This window comes from Homo sapiens, chromosome 16 (genome assembly GCF_000001405.40).
Source record: "Homo sapiens chromosome 16, GRCh38.p14 Primary Assembly".
In the NCBI taxonomy this organism is placed as follows: Eukaryota; Metazoa; Chordata; class Mammalia; order Primates; family Hominidae; genus Homo; species Homo sapiens.
The window spans coordinates 31896943-31920442 of NC_000016.10; the positions used below are offsets into that span (position 1 = coordinate 31896943).

General features: G+C 37.5%; 1 protein-coding gene across 3 annotated transcripts in view; it reads left to right on the forward strand.

Moving 5' to 3' along the window:
- Positions 1-20415, forward strand: part of ZNF267 (zinc finger protein 267) — a 43551-nt gene extending 23136 nt beyond the window's left edge. For all 3 annotated transcript variants that reach the window (NR_049749.2, NM_001265588.2, NM_003414.6), the window contains one exon: positions 17534-20415. Coding sequence is in view for 2 of the 3 variants with exons in the window: in NM_001265588.2 (NP_001252517.2) it covers positions 17534-19539 (2006 nt within the window). In the remaining variant the exon portion in view is untranslated. The remainder of the gene's footprint in view (positions 1-17533) is intronic.
- Positions 20416-23500: the final 3085 nt, after the last annotated feature.

Consider the following 23500-nt stretch of genomic DNA (forward strand, 5'->3'; position numbering starts at 1 on the left):
TTCATCCATGCTTTGTAGTTTTAATGTAGGAATATTTCATCTTCTTAGTTACGTTCATTGCTAGGTATCTTAATTTTAGTACTTAGTAGTAGATGTCTTTTACATCTAAATTGGAAACGAGGAAGTTAAATGGTTCCTGTTAGAGACAAAAAGATCTTACATTTACAAAACCTGAACACAACACCAAACACCAAAAAAACAAAACAAAACAAAACAAAAAAAACCCAGAAACAACAAAACTGTTAGGAGTAATAAATTCATTAAAGTTGCAGGATATAAAATTTCATAATTCCATTCACAATAGCTACAAAAAGAAAGTCAGTTCATTTAAAGTTCATGTTTGTATATGGTACAAAGTGAGGTCCAACTTTATTCTTTCCCATGCAAATTTCTAGTATTTCTAACATTCTTTGGTGAGGAGACTGTTCTTTCCTCATTGTGTGTTCTTAGAACCCTTGTTGAAGATAAATTTACTATATACATGAGGATTTATGGGCTCTCTAATCTTTACATCATCTATAATACTTGTCTGTCTTTGAGTACCACACTGTTTTGATTACTATAGCTTTGTAATATGTTTTAAAATCAGAAAGTAGATGTCTCCTTTTTTTCCCCCCAAGATTGTTTGGCTATTTCTGATTTCTTGAAATTCCATAGATATTTTAGAATATTTTAATACTTCTGCAAAGAGATCTATTGATATTTTGATAGAGAGTACATTGAATCTGTAAATCACCTTGGATAGTATTGACATCTTAAGAATATTGAGTCTTCAAACTCTTAAACAAGTTTGTGTGTTTGAGACTGTTTAATTTCTACATATTTGTAGACCTGCCAGTTTTCTTTTCATTTTTAACTTAAAGCTATTCTGTTGTAGTCAAAAATAATACTTTGTGTGATTTCCATCTGTTTAAATTTGTTAAGACATTTTATGGCTTAAAAAGTTGTCTATCTGGAATAATGTACCATATGTGATTAAAGACATTGTGTATTTTGCTGTTGTTGGGTGACAAGTTATGTATATATGTTAAGTCTAATTGTCTTTAGTGTTCAAGTCTTCTGTTTCCTTATTGATCTTCTTTCTGTTTTTGGTTTTGTTCGTTTTTGCATTACTGAAAGTGGAGTATGGAAGTCTTCTACTATTATTGTGCTGCTAGCTACTTGCTTCAATTCTGTGAAAGGTCACAATGTATATATGGGAGCTGTGACATTAGGTGCATATATGCTAATGCTTGTTATAGCTTTCTGGTCAGTGGACACTATTATTATTATTATATAATGCCCTTTCTTGTATTTTGTGACAGTTTTTGATGTAATGTATATTTTGTCTGATAGTATTTTACTTTGCATTTAATTTCTTTTTTCCATGCTTTCATGTTCAGCCCATGTGTGTTTTTGTATCTAAAGTGGGTCTTTTATTGAAAGCATAGAGTCGGATCTTGTTTATTGAATTTCAGCCAAATTTTGTCTTGTGAATGATTTAATTTTTTTTATGTACAAAGTAATTACTGAAAGGGAATGACATTGCTTTTTGTTTTTTATTTTAGATTTTGTAGCTTTTTTGTTTCTGTTTTCCTCTTGCTGTCTTCCTTGGTGTTTTATTGATTTTTTTTTATAGTGGCATATTTTGATTCCTTTCTCATTTCTTTTTGTGTATCTACTATAGGTATTTTTGTGGTTACCATAGATATTACACAAAACATCTTAAAATTATTAACAATTTGTATTAACCTGATAACTTTAGTAGCATACAAAAATCCTGCCTCTCTATGTCCCCTTATTGTATTTTATTGAGGTCACAAATTATATGCTTTTTATTGTGAATCCATTAACACAGATTTACGGTTATTTTTAAGTGTTGTCTTTTCACACACATAGGCTCAAAATAAAGGGATGGTGGAAGATCTGCCAAGCAGATGGAAAGCAAAAAAAGCAGGGGTTGCAATCCTGGTCTCTGATAAAACAGACTTTAAACCAACAAAGGTCAAAAGAGACAAGGCCATTACATAATGGTAAAGGGATCAATTCCGCAAGAAGAGCTAACTATCCTAAATATATATACACCCAATACAGGAGCACCCAGATTCATAAAGCAAGTTCTTAGAGACCTACAAAGAGACTTAGACTCACACACAATAATAATGGGAGACTTTAACACCCCACTGTCAATATTAGATCAAGGAGACAGAAAATTAACAAGGATATCTAGGACTTGAAGTCAGCTCTGGACCAAGCAGACCTAATAGACATCTACAGAACTCTCCAACCCAAGTCAACAGAATATACATTCTTCTTAGCACCACATTGCACTTATTCTAAAATTGACCACATAATTGGAAGTAAAACACTCTTCAGCAAATGTAAAAGAACAGAAATCACAACAAACTGTCTCTCAGACCACAGTGCAATCAAATTAGAACTCAGGGTTAAGACTCTCACTCAAAACTGCACAACTACATGGAAACTGAACAACCTGCTCCTGAATGACTACTGGGTAAATAACCAAATGAAGGCAGAAATAAAGATGTTCTTTGAAACCAATGAGAACAAAGACACAACATACCAGAATCTCTGGGACACATTTAAAGCAGTGTGTAGGTGGAAATTTATAGCACTAAATGCCCACAAGAGAAAGCAGGAGAGATCTAAAAGCGACACCCTAACATCACGATTAAAAGAACTAGAGAAGCAAGAGGAAAAAATCTTAAAATTACATAGTGAAAGGAAAATGTGAGAGATGTGCCTAACTGTGGTGTTTAGGAACAGGAAGTCTGCATACCTGTATGTATTTCAAAGTTAACAGGCTCTCTAATGCCTAGTTATTGGTTATACAGATTGCATAATGCCACTCAATATTTTTATTTAAAATACTTTATAAGCATATTATAAATGATATACTCATATGAGTGTATTTTCTAATAACCTAGATTGTAATATAAAACAAAAATGAATCAAGAAGTAAATTGCAATTAGGACTTCTTAATTACCTTTTTAGAAATTAATCTAGCTGCCAGTTGCATTTTAATTGAACCCTTGGTGTCATCCATATATATATACACACACACACACATACACACACACAATGTGTTTATTTATATATATATATAAACTGTGTGTGTAGTGTATTCATTTCCACAAGATACTGAAAATTTTGTGTCATCTTTGTATCCTATATTTCCATGTAATTAGTAATAATACAGAATTGTATCAGGTAAATTAAAAAAAAAAGAGAGCCATACAGTCACACACACGAGAAAGTGTTTGTCTTTTCAAATGTATAGCAGAATTAAAAGTATTCTATATACTATTATTACAATAATACCGAATACTTTATTTGTGTATATTATTACCTTAACCAGAAAACTTTATACTGTTACATGATTTTGTGTTCCTCCCTACCATCATGTTATTTTTCAATATAAAGAACTGACTCCTTTAGCATTTCTTGTATGACAGGTCTAATGGATATAAATTCATTTAGCTTTTATTAAGAATTCTTTATTTCTTTATTTTTTTTCCTGAAACGGAGTCTCGCTCTGCCACCCAGGCTGGAGTGTGGTGGCGAGATCTTGGCTCACTGCAGGCTCCGCCTCCTGGGTTCACGCCATTCTCCTGCCTCAGCCTCTTGAGTAGCTGGGACTACAGGTGCCTGCCACCACGCCCAGCTATTTTTTTGTATTTTTAGTAGAGATGGGGTTTCACTGCATTAGCTAGGATGGTCTTGATCTCCTGACCTCGTGATCCACCCGTCTTGGCCTCCCAAAGTGCTGGGATTACAAGCATGAGTCACTGTGCCCGGCCCCAAGAATTCTTTCTTTTTTTTTTTTTTTTTAATTTTTAACTTATTTTTATTTTTTTATTTATTTTATTATTATATTTTAAGTTTTAGGGTACATGTGCACAACGTGCAGATTTGTTACATTTGTATACATGTGCCATGTTGGTGTGCTGCACCCATTAACTCGTCATTTAGCATTAGGTATATCTTCTAATGCTATCCCTCTCCTCTCCCCCCACCCCACAACGGGCCCCAGTGTGTGATGTTCCCCTTCCTGTGTCCATGTGTTCTCTTTGTTCAATTCCCACCTATGAGTGAGAACATGCGGTGTTTCGTTTTTTGTCCTTGGGATGGTTTGCTGAGAATGATGGTTTCCAGCTTCATCCATGTCCCTACAAAGGACATGAACTCATCATTTTTTATGGCTGCATAGTATTCCATGGTGTATATGTGCCACATTTTCTTAATCCAGTCTATCATTGTTGGACATTTGGGTTGGTTCCAAGTCTTTGCTATTGTGAATACTGCCACAATAAACATACATGTGCATGTGTCTTTAGAGCAGCATGATTTATAATCCTTTGGGTATATACCCAGTAATGGGATGGCTGGGTCAAATGGTATTTCTAGTTCTAGATCCCTGAGGAATCGCCACACCAACTTTCACAATGGTTGAACTAGTTTACAGTCCCACCAACAGTGTAAAAGTGTTCCTATTTCTCCACATCCTCTCCAGCACTTGTTTCCTGACTTTTTAATGATCGCCATTCTAACTGGTGTGAGATGGTATCTCATTGTGGTTTTGATTTGCATTTCTCTGATGGCCAGTGATGATGAGCATTTTTTCATGTGTCTTTTGGCTGCATAAATGTCTTCTTTTGAGAAGTGTCTGTTCATATCCTTCACCCACTTTTTGATGGGGTTGTTTTTTTCTTGTAAATTTGTTTGAGTTCATTGTAGATTCTGGATATTAGCCCTTTGTCAGATGAGTAGGTTGCAAAAATTTTCTCCCATTCTGTAGGTTGCCTGTTCACTCTGATGGTGGTTTCCTTTGCTGTGCAGAAGCTCTTTCATTTAATTAGATCCCATTTGTCAATTTTGGCTTTTGTTGCCATTGCTTTTGGTGTTTTAGACAGGAAGTCCTTGCCCATGCCTATGTCCTGAATGGTATTACCTAGGTTTTCTTCTAGGGTTCTTAAGTTTTAGGTCTAATATGTAAGTTTTTAATCCATCTTGAATTAATTTTTGTATAAGGTGTAAGGAAGGGATCCATTTTCAGCTTTCTCCATATGGCTAGCCAGTTTTCCCAGCACCATTTATTAAATAGGGAATCCTTTCCCCATTGCTTGTTTTTGTCAGGTTTGTCAAAGATCGGATGGTTGTAGATATGCGGCATTATTTCTGAGGGCTCTGTTCTGTTCCACTGGTCTATATCTCTGTTTTTGTACCAGTACCGTGCTGTTTTGGTTACTGTAGCCTTGTAGTATAGTTTGAAGTCAGGTAGCATGATGCCTCCAGCTTTGTTCTTTTGGCTTAGGATTGTCTTGGTGATGCAGGCTCTTATTTGGTTCCATATGATCTTTAAAGTAGTTTTTTCCAATTCTGTGAAGAAAGTCATTGGTAGCTTGATGGGGATGGCATTGAATCTGTAAATTACCTTGGGCAGTATGGCCATTTTCACAATATTGATTCTTCCTACCCATGAGCATGGAATGTTCTTCCATTTGTTTGTATACTCTTATTTCATTGAGCAGTGGTTTGTAGTTCTCCTTGAAGAGGTCCTTCACATCCCTTGTAAGTTGGATTCCTAGGTATTTTATTCTCTTTGAAGCAATTGTGAATGGGAGTTCACTCATGATTTGGCTCTCTGTTTGTCTGTTATTGGTGTATAAAAATGCTTGTGATTTTTGCACATTGATTTTGTATCCTGAGACTTTGCTGAAGTTGCTTATCAGCTTAAGGAGATTTTGGGCTGAGACGATGGGGTTTTCTAGATATACAGTCATGTCATCTGCAAACAGGGATAACTTGACTTCCTCTTTTCCTAATTGAATACCCTTTATTTCCTTCTCCTGCCTGATTGCCCTGGCCAGAACTTCCAACACTATGTTGAATAGGAGTGGTGAGAGAGGGCATCCCTGTCTTGTGCCAGTTTTCAAAGGGAATGCTTCCAGTTTTTGTCCATTCAGTGTGATATTGGCTGTGGGTTTGTCATAGATAGCTCTTATCTATGACGTCCCATGAATACCTAATGTATTGAGAGTTTTTAGCATGAAGCGTTGTTGAATTTTGTCAAAGGCCTTTTCTGCATCTATTGAGATAATCATGTGGTTTTTGTCTTTGGTTCTGTTTATATGCTGGATTATGTTTCTTGAATTTCGTATTTTGAACCAGCCTTGCATCCCAGGGATGAAGTCCACTTGATCATGGTGGATAAGGTTTTTGATGTGTTGCTGGATTCGGTTTACCAGTATTTTATTGAGGATTTTTGCATCAATGTTCATCAAGGATATTGGTCTAAAATTCTCTTTTTTTGTTGTGTGTCTGCCAGGCTTTGGTCTCAGGATGATGCTGGCCTGATAAAATGAGTTAGGGAGGGATTCCCTCTTTTTCTATTGATTGGAATAGTTTCAGAAGGAACGGTAGCAGCTCCTCCTTGTACCTCTGGTAGAATTCAGCTGTGAATCCATCTGGTCCTGGACTTTTTTGGTTGGTAAGCTATTAATTATTGCCTCAATTTCAGAGCCTGTTATTGGTCTGTTTAGAGACTCAACTTCTTCCTGGTTTAGTCTTGGGAGAGTGTATGTGTTGAGGAACTTATCGATTTCTTCTAGATTTTCTAGTTTATTTGCGTAGAGGTGTTTATAGTATTCTCTGATGGTAGTTTGTATTTCTGTGGGATCGGTGGTGATATCCCCTTTGTCATTTTTTATTGCATCTATTTGATTCTTCTCTCTTTTCTTCTTTATTAGTCTTGCTATGGGTCTATGAATTTTGTTGATCCTTTCAAAAACCAGCTCCTGGATTCATTGATTTTTTGAAGGGTTTTTTGTTTCTCTGTTTCCTTCAGTTCTGCTCTGATCTTAGTTATTTCTTGCCTTCTGCTAGCTTTTGAATGTGTTTGCTCTTGCTTCTCTAGTTCTTTTAATTGTGATGTTAGGGTGTCAATTTTAGATCTTTCCTGCTTTCTCTTGTGGGCATTTAGTGCTATAAATTTCCCTCTGCACACTGCTTTGAATGTGTCCCAGAGATTCTGGTATGTTGTGCCTTTGTTCTTGTTGGTTTCAAAGAACGTCTTTATTTATGTCTTCATTTCGTTATGTATCCAGTAGTCATTCAGGAGCAGGTTGTTCAGTTTCCATGTAGTTGAGCAGTTTTGAGTGAGTTTCTTAATCCTGAGTTCTAGTTGGATTGCACTGTGGTGTGAGAGACAGTTTGTTATCATTTCTGTTCTTTTACATTTGCTGAGGAGTGCTTTACTTCCAACTATGTGGTCAATTTTGGAATAGGTGTGGTGTGGTGCTGAAAAGAATGTATATTCTGTTGATTTGGGGTGGAGAGTTCTGTAGATGTCTATTAGGTCCGCTTGGTGCAGAGCTGAGTTCAATTCCTGGATATCCTTGTTAACTTTCTGTCCTGTTGATCTGTCTAATGTTGACAATGGGTTGTTAAATCTCCCATTATTATTGTGTGGGAGTCTAAGTCTCTTTGTAGGACACTACGGACTTGCTTTATGAATCTGGGTGCTCCTGTATGGGGTACATATATATTTAGGATAGTTAGCTCTTCTTGTTGAATTGATCCCTTTACCATTATGTAATGGCCTTCTTTCTCTCTTTGGATCTTTGTTGGTTTAAAATCTGTTTTATCAGAGACTAGGATTGCAACCCTGCCTTTTTTTGTTTTCCATTTGCTTGGTAGATCTTCCTCCGTCCCTTTATTTTGAGCCTATATGTGTCTCTGCACATGAGATGGGTTTCCTGAATACAGCACACTGATGGGTCTTGACTCTTTATCCAATTTGCCAGTCTGTGTCTTTTAATTGGAGCATTTAGCCCGTTTACATTTAAGGTTAATATTCTTATGTGTGAATTTGATCCTGTCATTATGATGTTAGCTGGTTATTTTGCTCATTAGTTGATGTAGTTTCTTTCTAGCCTTGATGGTCTTTACAGTTTGGCATGTTTTTGCAGTGGCTGGTACCGGTTGTTCCTTTCCATGTTTAGTGCTTCCTTCAGGAGCTCTTGTAGGGCAGGCCTGGTGGTGACAAAATCTCTCAGCATTTGCTTGTCTGTAAAGGATTTTATTTCTCCTTCACTTATGAAGCTTAGTTTGGCTGGATATGAAATTCTGGGTTGAAAATTCTTTTCTTTAAGAATGTTGAATATTGGCCCCCACTCTCTTCTGGCTTGTAGAGTTTCTGCCAAGAGATCAGCTGTTAGTCTGATGGGCTTCCCTTTGTGGGTAACCTGACCTTTCTCTCTGGCTGCCCTTAACATTTTTTCCTTCCTTTCAACTTTGGTGAATCTGACAATTATATGTCTTGGAGTTGCTCTTCTTGAGGAGTATCTTTGTGGCATTCTCTATATTTCCTGAATTTGAATGTTTGCCTGCCTTGCTGGATTGGGGAAGTTCTCCTGGATAATATCCTGCAGAGTGTTTTCCAACTTGGTTCCATTCTCCTCGTCACTTTCAGGTACACCAATGAGACGTAGATTTGGTCTTTTCACATAATCCCATATTTCTTGGAGGCTTTGTTCGTTTCTTTTTATTCTTTTTTCTCTAAACTTCTCTTTTCGCTTCATTTCATTCATTTCATCTTCCATCACTGGTACCCTTTCTTCCAGTTGATCGAATCGGCTACTGAGGCTTGTGCATTCGTCACGTAGTTCGTGTGCCTTGGTTTTCAGCTCCATCAGGTCCTTTAAGGACTTCTCTGCATTGGTTATTCTAGTTAGCCATTCGTCTAATTTTTTTTCAAGGTTTTTAACTTCTTTGCCATGGGTTCGAACTTCCTCGTTTAGCTCAGAGTAGTTTGATTGTCTGACGCCTTCTTCTCTCACCTCGTCAAAGTCATTCTCCGTCCAGCTTTGTTCCATTGATTTTGAGGAGCTGCGTTCCTTTGGAGGAGGAGAGGCACTCTGATTTTTAGAGTTTCCAGTGTTTCTGCTGTTTTTTCCCCATCTTTGTGGTTTTATGTACCTTTGGTCTTTGATGATGGTGACGTACAGATGGGTTTTTGGTGTGGTTGTCCTTTCCGTTTGTTAGTTTTCCTTCTAACAGTCAGGAACCTCAGCTGCAGGTCTGTTTGAGTTTGCTGGAGGTCCACTCCAGACCCTGTATGTCTGAGTATCAGCAGTGGTGGCTGCTGAACAGCGGATATTGGTGAACCGCAAATGCTGCTGCCTGATCATTCCTCTGGAAGTTTTGTCTCAGAGGAGTACCCGGCCGTGTGAGGTGTCAGTCAGCTCCTACTGGGGGGTGCCTCCCAGATAGGCTAGTCAGGGACCCACTTGAGGAGGCAGTCTGCCCATTCTCAGATCTCAAGCTGTGTGCTGGGAGAACCACTACTCTCTTCAAAGCTGACAGACAGGGACATTTAAGTCTGCAGATGTTACTGCTGCCTTTTATTTGTCTGTGTCCTGCCCCCAGAGGTGGAGTCTACGGAGGCAGGCAGGCCTCCTTGAGCTGTGGTGGGCTCCACCCAGTTGGAGCTTCCGGACCGCTTTGTTTACCTACTCAAGCCTGGGCAATGGTGGGCACCCTTCCCCCAGCCTTGCTGCCACCTTGCAGTTTGATCTCAAGACTGCTGTGCCAGCAATCAGTGAGACTCCGTGGGTGTAGGAACCTCCGAGCCAGGTGCGGGATATAATCTCCTGGTGTGCCGTTTGTTAAGCCTATTGGAAAAGCGCTGTATTAGGGTGGGAGTGACCCGATTTTCCAGGTGCCGTCTGTCACCCCTTTCTTTGACTAGGAGAGGGAATTCCCTGACCCATTGCACTTCCCAGGTGAGGCAGTGCCTCACCCTGCTTCGGCTCACGCACGGTGGGCTGCACCCACCGTCCTGCATCCACTGTCTGGCACTCCCCAGTGAGATGAACCCAGTGCCTCAGTTGGAAATGCAGAAATCACCCGTCTTCTGCGTGGCTCAGGCTGGGAGCTGTAGACTGGAGCTGTTCCTATTGGCCATCTTGGCTCCTCCCCCCAAAGTTCTTTTTTTCTAATTCATTTTTAAAGTATAGTTTGGGCAGATGTAGTGTTCATAGTAGGTAGTTGTTATTTTTTCATCACTTTCAATATATCATCCTGCCATCTTCTGGCTTGTGAGATTTTTTGCTGAGACATCTGTTGATCATTTTATAAGAGTGGCCTTGTATGTGCCAAGTCATCTTTTTCTTTCTGACTTCAAGATTCTCTTTGTCACTTTTGAATTTCTGATTATAATGTCTCATGTGAGTCTCTTTGTGTTGCTGCTAGAGTTGGTTGAACTTTAAATTTTAGGCCATTTTCTCCATCAAATTTGGAAAATTCTTAGTCATTATTACTTCAAATAAATTTTCTGCTCTTTTTCAGTTTAGAATTCTCATGAGTATGTTGGCCTACTTGATAGTATCCCATAGGTTTACTAGGCTCTTTTTTCCTTCATTTTTTAATCCTGTTTGCCTTCCTGACTTCAAAATTTCAAATGACCTGTTATCAAGTGTGCTGGGGATTTTTTACCTGCTACATCAGGTCTGCTGTAGACCTCATCTAGTGAATCTTTAAATTTAGTTTTTATTTTTACCTCCACACTTTGTGTTTTTATAGGTTTAATCTCTGTTCATTTTCATCATCCATTTTCTCTTTTAGTTTAGTTGTGTTCTCCTTTAGTTGTTTGAACATTTTTAATATAAATATTTTAGCCAGTTATGTGGCTCATGCCTGTTATCCCAGCTACTTTGGAGGTTGAAGTTGGAGGATCATTTGAGGCCAGGAGTTTGAGACCTGCCTGAGCAATATATTGAGACCCTGTGTCTATAAAAAATAATAAATATGGCTGGGCGCAGTGGCTCATGCCTATAATCCCAGCAATTTGGGAGGCCGAGGCGGGTGGATCACGAGGTCAGGAGATTGAGACCGTCCTGGCTAACATGATGAAACCCCGTCTCTACTAAAAATTGAAAAAAAAAAAAATTAGCCGGGTGTGGTGATGGGTGCTTGTAGTCCCAGCTACTCAGGAGGCTGAGGCAGGAGAATGGCCTGAACCCGGGAGGTGGAGCTTGCAGTGAACCAAGATAGCGCCACTGCACTGCAGCCTGGGTGACAACGCAAGACTCTGTCTCAAAAAAAAAAAATAATACTAATAATAAATACACTAGGTGTGATGATGCATGCCTGTAGTTTTAGGTACTCAGGAAGCTGAGGCAGGAGAATCAGTTAACTTCAGAAATTTATGCCTGCAGTGAGCGGTGATTGTGCCACTGCTCCCTAGTTTGGGTTTTTTTGAGAAATGTCCCTTCAAATCTTGTGCCCATTTTTGATTGGATTATTAGATTGTTTCTTAAAGAGTTGTTTGAGCTCCTTACATATTCTGATTATTGATCCTTTGTCAGATGCGTAGTTTGTGAATATTTTCTCCCATTCTGTGGGTTGTTTCTTCACTTTATTGAGTATTTCCTTTGTTGTCCAGGTGCTTTTTAACTTGACATGATCCCATATGTCCATTTTTGCTTTGTTTCCCTGTGCTTTAATACATTACTTAAGAAATTTTTACACCAACCATTGTCCTGGAGAGTTTCCCCAATGTTTTCTTGTAGTAGTTTCATAGTTTGAAATCTTAAAGTCCTTAATCCATTCTGATTTGATTTTTGTGTATGGTGAGAGATAGGGTCTAGTTTCTGTTTTTAATGAATAGCTTGTCTTCATATATATGGATATCCAGTTTTTTTTTAGCACTGGTTATTGAAAAAAAACTGTCCTTTCTCTAGTGTATGTTCTTAACATCTTTGTTAAAAACGAGTCCACTCAAGGTGTCTGGAGTTGTTTTTGGGTTCTCTATTCTGTTGCATTGGTCTGTGTGTCTGTTTTTATGCCAGTACCATACCATTTTGATTACTACAGCTCTTTAGTGTAATGTGAAATCAGATAATGTGACTCCTTAAGTTTTGTTCTTTTAGCTTAGGATAGCTTTGCTATTCTGAGTCTTTTGTGGTTCCATATATATTTTAGGATTGTTTTTTCTAATTCTGTGAAGAATGTCATTAGTATTTTCATAGGGATTGCATTGATTCTGTAGATTGTTTCGAGTAGTATGGATATTTTAACAATATTGATTCTTCCAATCCATTGACATGGGATATTTTTCGTGTGTGTGTGTGTGTGTGTGTGTGTCCTCTTCTATCTTCTATTTCTTTTCTTTTCTTTTTTTTTTTTTTTTTTTTTTTTTTGACGTATCTCCCTCTTGTCGCCCAGGCTGGAGTGCAGTAGCACGATCTCGGCTCGGCTCACTGCAACCTCCGCCTCCCGGGTTCAAGTGATTCTCCTGCCGCAGCCTCCCAAGTAGCTGGGACTCCAGGCATGCGCCACCGTGCCTGGCTAATTTTTTGTATTTTTAGTAGAGACGGAGTTTCACCATGTTGACTATGCTGGTCTCAAACTCCTGACCTCAAGTGATCTGCCCACCTCGGCCTCCTAGGGTGCTGGGATTACAGGTGTGAGCCACTGCACCCAGCCATCCTCTTCAATGTCTTTCATTCATGTTTTATAGTTTTCATTGTACAGATCTTTCACTTCTTTGGTTAAGTTAATGTCTAGGTATTTAATTTTATTTGTGGCTACTGTAAATGGAATTACTTTCTAATCTCTTTTTTCAGATTCTCTGTTGGCATATAGAAATGCTATTGATGTTTGTATGTTCATTTTATATCCTGCAACTTTATCAGTTCTTACTGTTTTTTGGTGGAGTCTTTAGATTTTTCTTAATATAAGACTGTACCATCTGCAAACAAGAATAATTTGACGACTTCCTTTCCAATTTGGATGCCATTTAGTTTTTTCTCGTTTTACTGCTGCTGTAGCTAGCACTTCCAGTACTATGTTGAATAACAGTGTTGAAAGTGGACATCCTTGTTATGTTCCAGATCTTAGAGAAAAGACTTTCAGATTTTTTTCCTCCATTCAGGATGATACTAGCTGTGGATCTGTCATATATGGTTTTTATTATTTTGAGGTATGTTCTTTCTATACCCAGCTTTTTGAGAGTTTTTATTATCAAAGGATGTTGAATTTTATTAAATCCTTTTTTCAGCAGCAGTTGAAATGATCATATGATTTTGTCCTTCATTCTGTTGATGTATCATACTGATTGATTGCATATGATGAACCATTCTTGCATCCCTGGGATAAATCCCACTTTGTCATAATGAACAATCTTTTAATGTGTTGTTGAATTCTGTTTGCTAACACTTTGTTATTTTTACATAAATATTTATTATAGATATTGGCGTACAGTTTTCATCTTTTGATGTATCTTTTTCTGATTTGGGTATTATGGTAATACTGGCCTCAAAGAATGAGTTGGGAAGTATTCCTTCCTCCTGTGTTTTGGAAGTTTTTGAGTAGAGCTGGTATTAGATCTTTAAATGTTGGGTAGAATTTAGTGGTGAAGCCATCAGGTCCTGGGCTTTTCTTTACTGGGAGACTTTTTATTATGGCTTTGAACTTGTTACTTCTTATTGGTCTGTTCATGTTTTGGATTTCTTCGTTGTTTAATCTTGGTAAGTTGTATATATCTGGGAACTTACCCATTTTTGTTAGATTTTCCAATTAGTTGGCATACAGTTGTTAATAATAGCCACTAATAATCTTTTGAATTTCTGCAGTGTCAGTTATAATGTCTCCTTTTTCATCTCTGGTTTTATGTGGGTCTTCTTTTTTTCTTAGTCAAGCTAAAGGTTTGTAAATTTTATTTATCTGCTTAAAAAAATCAACTTTTCATTTCATTGATTTTTTTTGTATTTTTTATTTGAATTTTATTTCTGCTGTGATGTTTATTATAATTTTTGTTTTGCTGTTTTTTCTTTAAGATCCAACATTAGGTTATATGATTTTTTTCTTTTTTGATGTAAGCACATATATCTATACATTTCTCAGTACTGCTTTTGCTGTATCCCATAGGTTTTGGTATGTGTTTTTTCATTATTTGTTTGAAGAAATTTTTCAATTTCGTTCTTAATTTCTTTACTGATCCAATTTTCATTGAGGAGCGTATTGTTTAATTTACATTTGTTTGTATAGTTTCCAAAATTCTTGTTACTGATTTCTAGTTATATTCCATTGTGGGCAGAGATGTTTGATATTATTTCACTTTTCTGAATGTTTTAAGACTTGTTTTGTAACCTAAAATGTTGTGTATCTGAAAATTATCTATGTGCTGAGAAGAATGTGTGTTCTGTAGCCATTAGATAAAATGTTCTGCAAATATTTATTAGGTATATTTGGTTTATAGCACAGATTAAGTCTGATGTTTCTTTCATGATTTTCTATCTGTAAGATCTGTACAATGCTGAAAGTGGTGTGTTGAAGTCTCAATTATTATTGTATTGGGGCCTCTCTCTTTAGCTCTAATACTCTATGTCTCAGTGCTTTAGTGTAGGGTGCATGGATATTTAAAATTGTTATATTCTCTGACTGAATTGATCCCTTTATCATAAAATGACATTTGTTCTGTCTTCACAGTTTTTATCTTGAAATATATTTTATCTGATGTAAGTATAGCTACTTTGGTTCTTTTTTTTTGTTTTCATTGGCATGGAACATTTTTCCATTCTTTTATTTTTCAGTCTATGTGTATCTTTATAGATGAAGTGTATTTCTTGTGGGCAGCAGATAATTGGGTCTTCCTTTTTCTTTTTTTCACCCATTCTATGTCATCTAATTGGAGTGTTTAGTGCATTTCCATTCAGCATTATTATTGATAAGTATGTGTTCACTCCTGCCATTTTGTTATTTGTTTTTGCATCTTCTCTTTCTTTTGTCCTTCCTTTCTGTCTTCATTTTAGTGAACATGATTTTTCTTGGTGGTATGATTTAATTTCTTGCTTTTTGGTTTCTGTGTCTGTTGTATGTTTTTTTATTTGAGGTTACCATGAAACTTACAAATACTATCTTATAACCTATTGTTTTAACTGCTGACAACTTCACACTGATTGCCTAAGTGAACAAATAAGCAATAAGAAAACTAGTAAAAACTCTACCTTTAACTTTGCTTCCCCATTTTTCAACTTTTTGTTGGTTCTCTTTATGTCTTATTGTACTGTCTTTGTCTTGAAACATTGTTGTAGTTGTATTGAGTCATCATTGAGTATTTCTACTTGAGTATTTTACACACCACAGTTACCATATTATAATACTCAGTTTTTCTCTGTGCTATTACCAATGAGTTCTGTACCTTCAGATGACTTCTTATTGTTCATTAACATTCTTTTCTTACAGATGGAAGAGAATGCCCCTTAGTATTACTTGTAGGACAGGTCTGGTTTTAATGAAATCTCTCAGTGTTTGTCTGGGAAGGTCATTTTTTTCTCCTTCATGGCTATGGAATATTTTCACGGGATAGACTATTCTAGTGTAAAAGCTTTGCTACTTCAGCACTTTAAATATGTCATGCTATTCTCTCCTGGCCTGTAAGATTTCCACTGAAAATCTGCTGCCAGACGTACTGGAGTTTCATTGTATGCTGTTTCTTTTTTCTTGCTGCTTTTAGGATCCTTTATTCTTAATTTTTGGGAGTTTGATTATTAAATGTCTTGAGGTAGTCGTCTTTGGGTTCAATCTGCTTTGTGTTCTGTAACCTGGTTGTACTTGGATATTGATATCTTTATAGATTTGGGAAGTTCTCTGATCGTATTCTTGAAACTTTCTACCCCTGTCTCTTTCTCTCTTTAAGGCTAACAACTCTTAGATTTGCCCTTTTCAGGGTGTTTTCTAAATCTTGTAGGCATACTTCATTCTTTTTTGTCTTCTCTACATATTTTCAAATTGCCTATGTTCAAGCTCAATAATTTTTTCTTTTGCCTGATCAGTTTTGCTATTAAGAGACTGATGCATTCTTCAGTATGCCAATTGCTTTTTTAACTTCAATTTCTGCTTGATTCCTTTTAATTATTTCAACCTCTTTGTTTGATTTATCTGATAGAATCTGAATTCCTTCTCTATTTTATCTTGAATTTGTTTCCTCAACACAACTATGTTGAATCATCTGTCTGAAAAGTTACTTATTTTGTTTCTCCAGGATTGGCCTCTTATGCCTTATTCAGTTTGTTAGGTGAGGCCATATTTTACTGGATGGTCTTAATGTGTAGATGTTCATCTGTGTCTTGGCATTGAAGAGTTAGGCATTTATTGTAGCCTTCGCAGTCTGGGCTTTGTGTCCACCCTTGTTGGGAAGGCTTTCCAGAATTTGAAGGTACTTGGATCTCAAACTCAATAACGTTGTTCTTGCAGACTCATAGAGGTACCATGTGGTTGGTCTTGGTTAAAATCGATGAATTATCTGGATTACCAAGCAGAGACTCTTGTTCTCTTCCCTTAGTTTCTTCCAGACGAATGGAATTTCTTTCTCTATGCTGAGCTACCTGGAGCTGGGGTGGGATGACATAAGCTTCCCTGTTGCCCCCACCACTGGGACTGTGCTAATTTAGACTTGAAGTGAGCACAGCACTGGGTGTCACCCAAGGCCCAGTGTAATTACTGCCTGGCTACCACCTAAGTTTACTCAAGACCTTAGGCCTCTACAATCAGCAGGTGGTAACCAGCCAGGTTTGTGTCTCCTCAGGGCAGTGAGTTCCCTTTGGCCCCAGGTAGGTTCAGAGATATTGTGTGGGAGCCAGGTATTGAAGTCAGAAGCCTTATTTATCTCGTGTTCTATTCTACTGCAGCTAAGCTGGCATTCAAATTACAAGACAACATCCTTACCACTCCTCCCTCCCCTTTCTGCAGGCAGAGGAGCCTCACAATGTGTCTGCCACCACCACCAGCCCACAGGGGTTTCCACTGGGCTATCACTGATGTTCACTCAACACCCAAGCACTCTTCAGTCAGCTTATGATGACTGCTTCCACAACTGGGACTTACTCTTTGGTGCAGGGCAGGTCCAGAAATGCTGACTCAGGGACCCTAAGAGTCTGCTTGGTGCTCTACCCCACTGTGGCCAAGCTGGTACCTCAGGTGCAAGACAGAATCCCATTTACTTTTTCCTCTGCTTTGCTCAAACAGAAGGTGTCTTTCACTATACCCACCACAGTGGGAAATGTTCTGGGTCACACCTGAAGCCAGCACATCTCGGAGTCCAATGTTCATGATGTGTTATTGGGGTACCACTGTAGGTTATTCAGAGACCAGCAGCTCCTAAGTCAGAAGGTGATGAATCCTGCCAGGTCTCTGCTGTGATAGGGCAGCACTGGGTTCATTGTAGTCCCCTAGTCACTGTGCTCTCCGTCTCCCAAATGAACAGATTTCTCCCCGCCATGCAGATGCTGCTGAGGGGCAAGGGCAAGGTGGCACAAGCACTCCCTTTCCTTCACTGTTGGTGTCTTAGTAGTTCACGTGCCACTTTATTGTAGTAAAGTTTGTATATCAATTGAGAAAACACGGCCTCAGGTTTTTCACTCAACTGTTGTTGTATTCTCAACTTAGCATAATTTTGTATATTAGATTTGTAAAATATATGTACCTGAATATAGTAATTGGAATTCTTAAAATTTTTATATCTTTCAGATGTGTTTTCGCATTATAACAAGGACCTGTTGACAGAGCACTGCACAGAAGCTTCATTCCAAAAAGTGATATCGAGGAGACATGGGAGCTGTGATCTTGAGAATTTACATTTAAGAAAAAGGTGGAAAAGGGAGGAGTGTGAAGGGCACAATGGATGTTATGATGAAAAGACTTTTAAATATGATCAATTTGATGAATCCTCTGTTGAAAGTTTGTTTCACCAGCAAATACTTTCTTCTTGTGCCAAAAGCTATAACTTTGATCAATATAGGAAGGTCTTTACTCATTCATCATTGCTTAATCAACAAGAGGAAATAGATATTTGGGGAAAACATCACATATATGATAAAACTTCAGTGTTATTTAGGCAGGTCTCTACTCTAAATAGTTACCGAAATGTTTTTATTGGAGAGAAAAATTATCATTGCAATAATTCTGAAAAAACCTTGAACCAAAGCTCAAGCCCTAAAAATCATCAGGAAAATTATTTTCTAGAAAAACAATACAAATGTAAAGAATTTGAGGAAGTCTTTCTTCAGAGTATGCATGGGCAAGAGAAACAAGAACAGTCTTACAAATGTAATAAATGTGTAGAAGTTTGTACCCAGTCATTAAAACATATTCAACATCAGACCATCCATATCAGAGAAAACTCATATAGCTATAACAAATATGATAAAGATCTTAGTCAGTCATCAAATCTTAGAAAGCAGATAATCCATAATGAAGAGAAACCATACAAATGTGAAAAATGTGGGGATAGCTTAAACCATAGTTTGCACCTTACTCAACATCAGATCATTCCTACCGAAGAGAAACCCTGTAAATGGAAAGAATGTGGCAAGGTCTTTAACCTTAACTGTAGTTTATACCTTACTAAACAGCAGCAAATTGATACTGGAGAAAACCTTTACAAATGTAAAGCATGTAGCAAATCTTTTACTCGTTCCTCCAATCTTATTGTGCATCAGAGAATTCACACTGGAGAGAAACCATACAAATGTAAAGAATGTGGCAAAGCCTTTCGCTGTAGTTCATACCTTACTAAACATAAGCGAATTCATACTGGAGAGAAACCTTATAAATGTAAAGAATGTGGAAAAGCTTTTAACCGTAGTTCATGCCTTACTCAACATCAGACAACTCATACAGGAGAAAAACTTTACAAATGTAAAGTATGTAGCAAATCTTATGCTCGTTCTTCAAATCTTATTATGCATCAGAGAGTTCATACTGGAGAGAAGCCTTATAAATGTAAAGAATGTGGCAAAGTCTTTAGCCGTAGTTCTTGCCTTACTCAACATCGGAAAATTCATACTGGAGAAAATCTTTACAAATGCAAAGTATGTGCTAAACCTTTTACTTGTTTCTCAAATCTTATTGTGCATGAGAGAATTCATACTGGAGAGAAACCCTATAAATGTAAAGAATGTGGCAAAGCCTTTCCTTATAGTTCACACCTTATTCGACATCATCGAATTCATACTGGAGAAAAACCATACAAATGTAAAGCATGTAGCAAATCTTTTAGTGACTCCTCAGGTCTTACTGTGCATCGGCGAACTCATACTGGAGAGAAACCCTATACATGTAAAGAATGTGGCAAAGCCTTTAGTTATAGTTCAGATGTTATTCAGCATCGGAGAATTCATACTGGCCAGAGACCCTACAAATGTGAAGAATGTGGCAAAGCCTTCAACTATAGGTCATACCTCACTACACATCAGAGAAGTCATACTGGAGAGAGACCCTACAAATGTGAAGAATGTGGCAAAGCCTTCAACTCTAGGTCATACCTCACTACACATCGGAGAAGACATACTGGAGAGAGACCCTACAAATGTGATGAATGTGGTAAAGCCTTCAGCTATAGGTCATACCTCACTACACATCGGAGAAGTCATAGTGGAGAGAGACCCTACAAATGTGAAGAATGTGGCAAAGCCTTTAACTCTAGGTCATACCTCATTGCACATCAGAGAAGTCATACTAGAGAAAAACTTTAAAAATGTAAAACATGGAGCAGATTTTTTACTTGTTACCCATGTCTTATTGTGCATCAGATAATTTATATGGGAGTGAAACCCTACAAATGTTAAGAATGTGGCATAACCTTTAACTATTTTCAAGCCTTACACAATAGCAGAGAATATAAACTGAAAAAATCCATACAAATATTAAAAATGTGGCAAATTATTTTAAACTGTGCTCAACCCTTACTCAAGATAATCCATACTAGAGAAACACTATAGATGTAAAAATGTGAAAAGTTTTATTCAAAATATCAAACTTATGAGTCACCTAGGGGTTCATAGAAAAAGGAAGTTTGCAGATGCAATAAATGTGAGGAAGTATTTAATAAAAAATGAAGTCTAAATGTGTCAGAGAATTTATGTGAGAAAGGACTAAAGCACAGACACTTTCAGCCTTTATACTAAATAAGAGTATTTTTTGTACAGAATAATCTAAAGGCAAAATAATTAGATAATTTATTTGCTTATATGTTTTAAAGTAGCAAGAACATTGATGTTTTGACAGGTATATTTCATAGATACTTCATTTGTATTTACAGTATTTGAGGTTTTTGGAAAGCAAATATTATTTATATAATTCAGCTTTCAAATCTGTTGCTGCTTTTCCTTAATCCGTGGTGTTCATGTGAAAATATGTGTTCTGTTTTTTTTTCTGCATCAGAACAATGTGAGGTCATTCTACGTTAATATCATTAATATCAGCATTTTTCATGGAAGTTTAATGCCAAATGTAAAACACATGAAAATTTTTAAAAATATGCTCTTTGTGTTTGAATAAAGTAGTAATGCATGTAAACATATACGTGTTTAGAGCTCTTTTCTATATTAAAGTAAGAGGGATATTCTGAATTTTTGAAATTACTTCAATTCCTCCATAAGTTTTTTTTTTTTTTTTTTTTTAAAAAGACTTCATTTAAAGCAGAGGTCCCCATTCCCAGGCTGTAGACCAGTTACTGGTCTGTGGCCTGTTAGAAACTGAGCTGCACCAGTAGGACATGAGTGGTGGGTGAGCAAGCATTACCACCTGAGCTCTGCCTCCTCTCAGATGAGTGGTGGCATTAGATTTTCATAAACCCTATTGTGAACTATGCATGTGAGGGATCTAGGTTGTGTGCTCCTTAGGAGACTCCAACTAATGCCTGATGACCTGAGGCAGAACATTTTCATCCCAAAACCATCTCTCTCCTTGCCAGTTTGTAGAAAAATTGTCTTCCATGAAACCAATCCCTGGTGCCAAAAAGGTTAGGACCACTGAGTTGAAGTACTAACATATCTTTAAAACAGAATAAAGTAGGAGTCTTTAGTATTATTTGATGTGATAGAATACATAGTGAAAAAGTTGAGTATTTGATGTGATGAGAATAACATCTTCACCTGTATCAGGGAAATGTGAAGATAATTCCTATCAACATTCACTAAATAATTAGCCTCACTTTAAAAAAACGTAGAAAACAGAACTGCAAGATTAGTATATTGGAAAAAAAGAATGCTTCTTGAGTACTTGTAACTGTATTTTGACCAGGAAGAATATAGTGGATTTTAAAATGCTGTAGACTATGGGTGAACTTAATTTCTTTTAATAAAATGAGTTGGTTTTTCATGTTTTAACACTGATGTACAATGAATGAAATGTTGTACTGACACCAGTGTTAAACTATTCCATCTTATCTAAGATTGTGGTTAACAGATGGAAATAATATACTATGGGTTAACAGTGAAATGTCTTCCCTAATATTCCTTTTGCTGGAGGACTTAAACTTTCAATAATTTGGAGAATAGTTTTCTCATAGTGACTATCTTAATAATGATTAGATAAGGCAGGTAAGATTGAAAGGCCACAACTTAGCAGCAAATGTTTTACATTCATTTGAGAGCCAGTTTGTAAGTAGTTCACCAAAAGATGTTGGGTTAAAGCAGTGGTTTGAATTAATTGCATAGCATTCATATAACAGAATACAACTCAGCCTAAAGCTCACACCCTATATGAATCTCATAGACCTCGTAAGTGAAAAAAGGTAGACATAAAATTGTGTTTTGTATATTTATGTATTGTATTATTTCAGGCAAAATAAACCTATGGTGAAATAAACACATTGATAGCCTCTGGCTGAGGAAGAAAAGATAGGTGCCTGGGACAAAACACGAGTGAATTTTCTGAAGATGATGAAAATGTTCTGTTTCTAAACTAGGTGAAGGTCGTAAGGGTTTATTTGTCAAAAATTTACAACTAGAGTTTGCGTCAGCCCATTGGTGCTGCAGAGTCTGTTTCCTTTGGGTTGGGACCTCATTCCTTTGAGTTGGGACTTCACCTCATTCAAGTCCTGGCAGAGTCACTAGAAGAGATGTGATGATCTTGTCCCAGACCCCAAGAGTGGGTTCTTGAATCTCACACAGGAAAGAATTCTTGGTGAGTTGCAGAGTGTAGTAAAGTTTATTAGAGACTACTCAGTTACAGAGTAGGGCATCCTCAGAAAGCAGGAAGAGGAATGCCTTGCAATGAGAAGAGATAGTTTATTGAAAGCTCCTCTGTTAGAGTAGGCCTTCCTCAGAAAGCAAGAGGAGAAATGCACCCATTTCAAATGGTTATATAGGTTATTAAGAATGGTATACTTTATTACAGAGGATTCTAATCAGCTTATGACAGGCTATTAGTATTGTTACTTTTCTATGTTACTATTGATTTCAGCAAGAATTTATGAGTACTATTTTTAAAGCAAAACATACTTAAACTAATAATGCTTTTTCTTAAAGTACTGGGACATTTTCTTAAGTTTTGAGTTCTTATTTAGTTGATTAACATCATTAACTCAGTGTTTCAACCATAAACATCTTGTGACCAAGAGTGCCCAGCCCCCTCGGAAAGTAATCCAGCAGGTTTGGCATTTTTTTTTTTTTTTTCTTGAGACAGAGTCTCGCTGAGTTGCCCAGGCTGGACTGCAGTGGTGCAATCTCGGCTCACTGCAATCACCGCCTCTTGGGCGTAAGCCATTCTCCTGCCTCAGCCTCCCGAGTAGCCGGGATTACAGGTGCCCGCCACCACACCCGGCTAATTTATATATTTTTAGTAGAGACAGGGTTTCACCATGTTGGCCAGGCTGTTTTTGAATCTCTGACCTCAGCTGATCTGCCCACTTCAGCCTCCCAAAGTGTTGGGATTACAGGTGCGAGCCACTGTGCCCGGCCATAGGTTTGGCTTTACCTGGCCTTTATTCAAGATAGGGCCTCTAGTTAGGATACTTCTGGCAGAATTAGCATGATTGTTATCTGAGAGTGGTCTATCACACTGCAGTGAGGAAGGGTGTTGAACAGCGACTAAGGTGTAATGGCTGCTCATTTGGCTACAGAGGTCCAGCTAGCAGCAAAAGTATAATGACTTGAGTAGGAATTACAGTTAGGAAAAGGATTTTTAAAGAGCTCTATAGTCCAAAGTTGACTTAATAAAAACTGATATTTACTCTACGTACATACACATATGCATGGTTTTAAGATCTCCTCTCTCTGTAAAAGTCAAATGAATTCTGTTTCTCCATTTACTTCTGTCTGTCCTTCCTCTTGCCACTCCAAATGCCACATGAGGGGAACGCCCCCCAAAAAAAGAATTCTAACAGAATTCTAGCCTAGAATCACAGAAAACAGAAAAGTTGTCACAGTCTCCTCCTCTTGGGAGGAAACTGCTTTTTCTCATGAGGCCCTCAGAGTTGTAAGCAGAGAGATCCCTCTCAGGTCTAACACTCTGCTCTTTCTTGTATTGCATTACTTGATCTCCTTGGCTTTGGGGGATACCAGAGATTACATTGTACTATGAGAGAACTTGACTAGGTGGATGTAATTGCTGGTGAGTCACTGGCAAGAGCTATGGTGTTAGAGGGCTGACAGCAGTCGCTTACAGTAAATGTTTATTACTCTAGGGAGTTGCTTATTTCTTTGGGTGTTT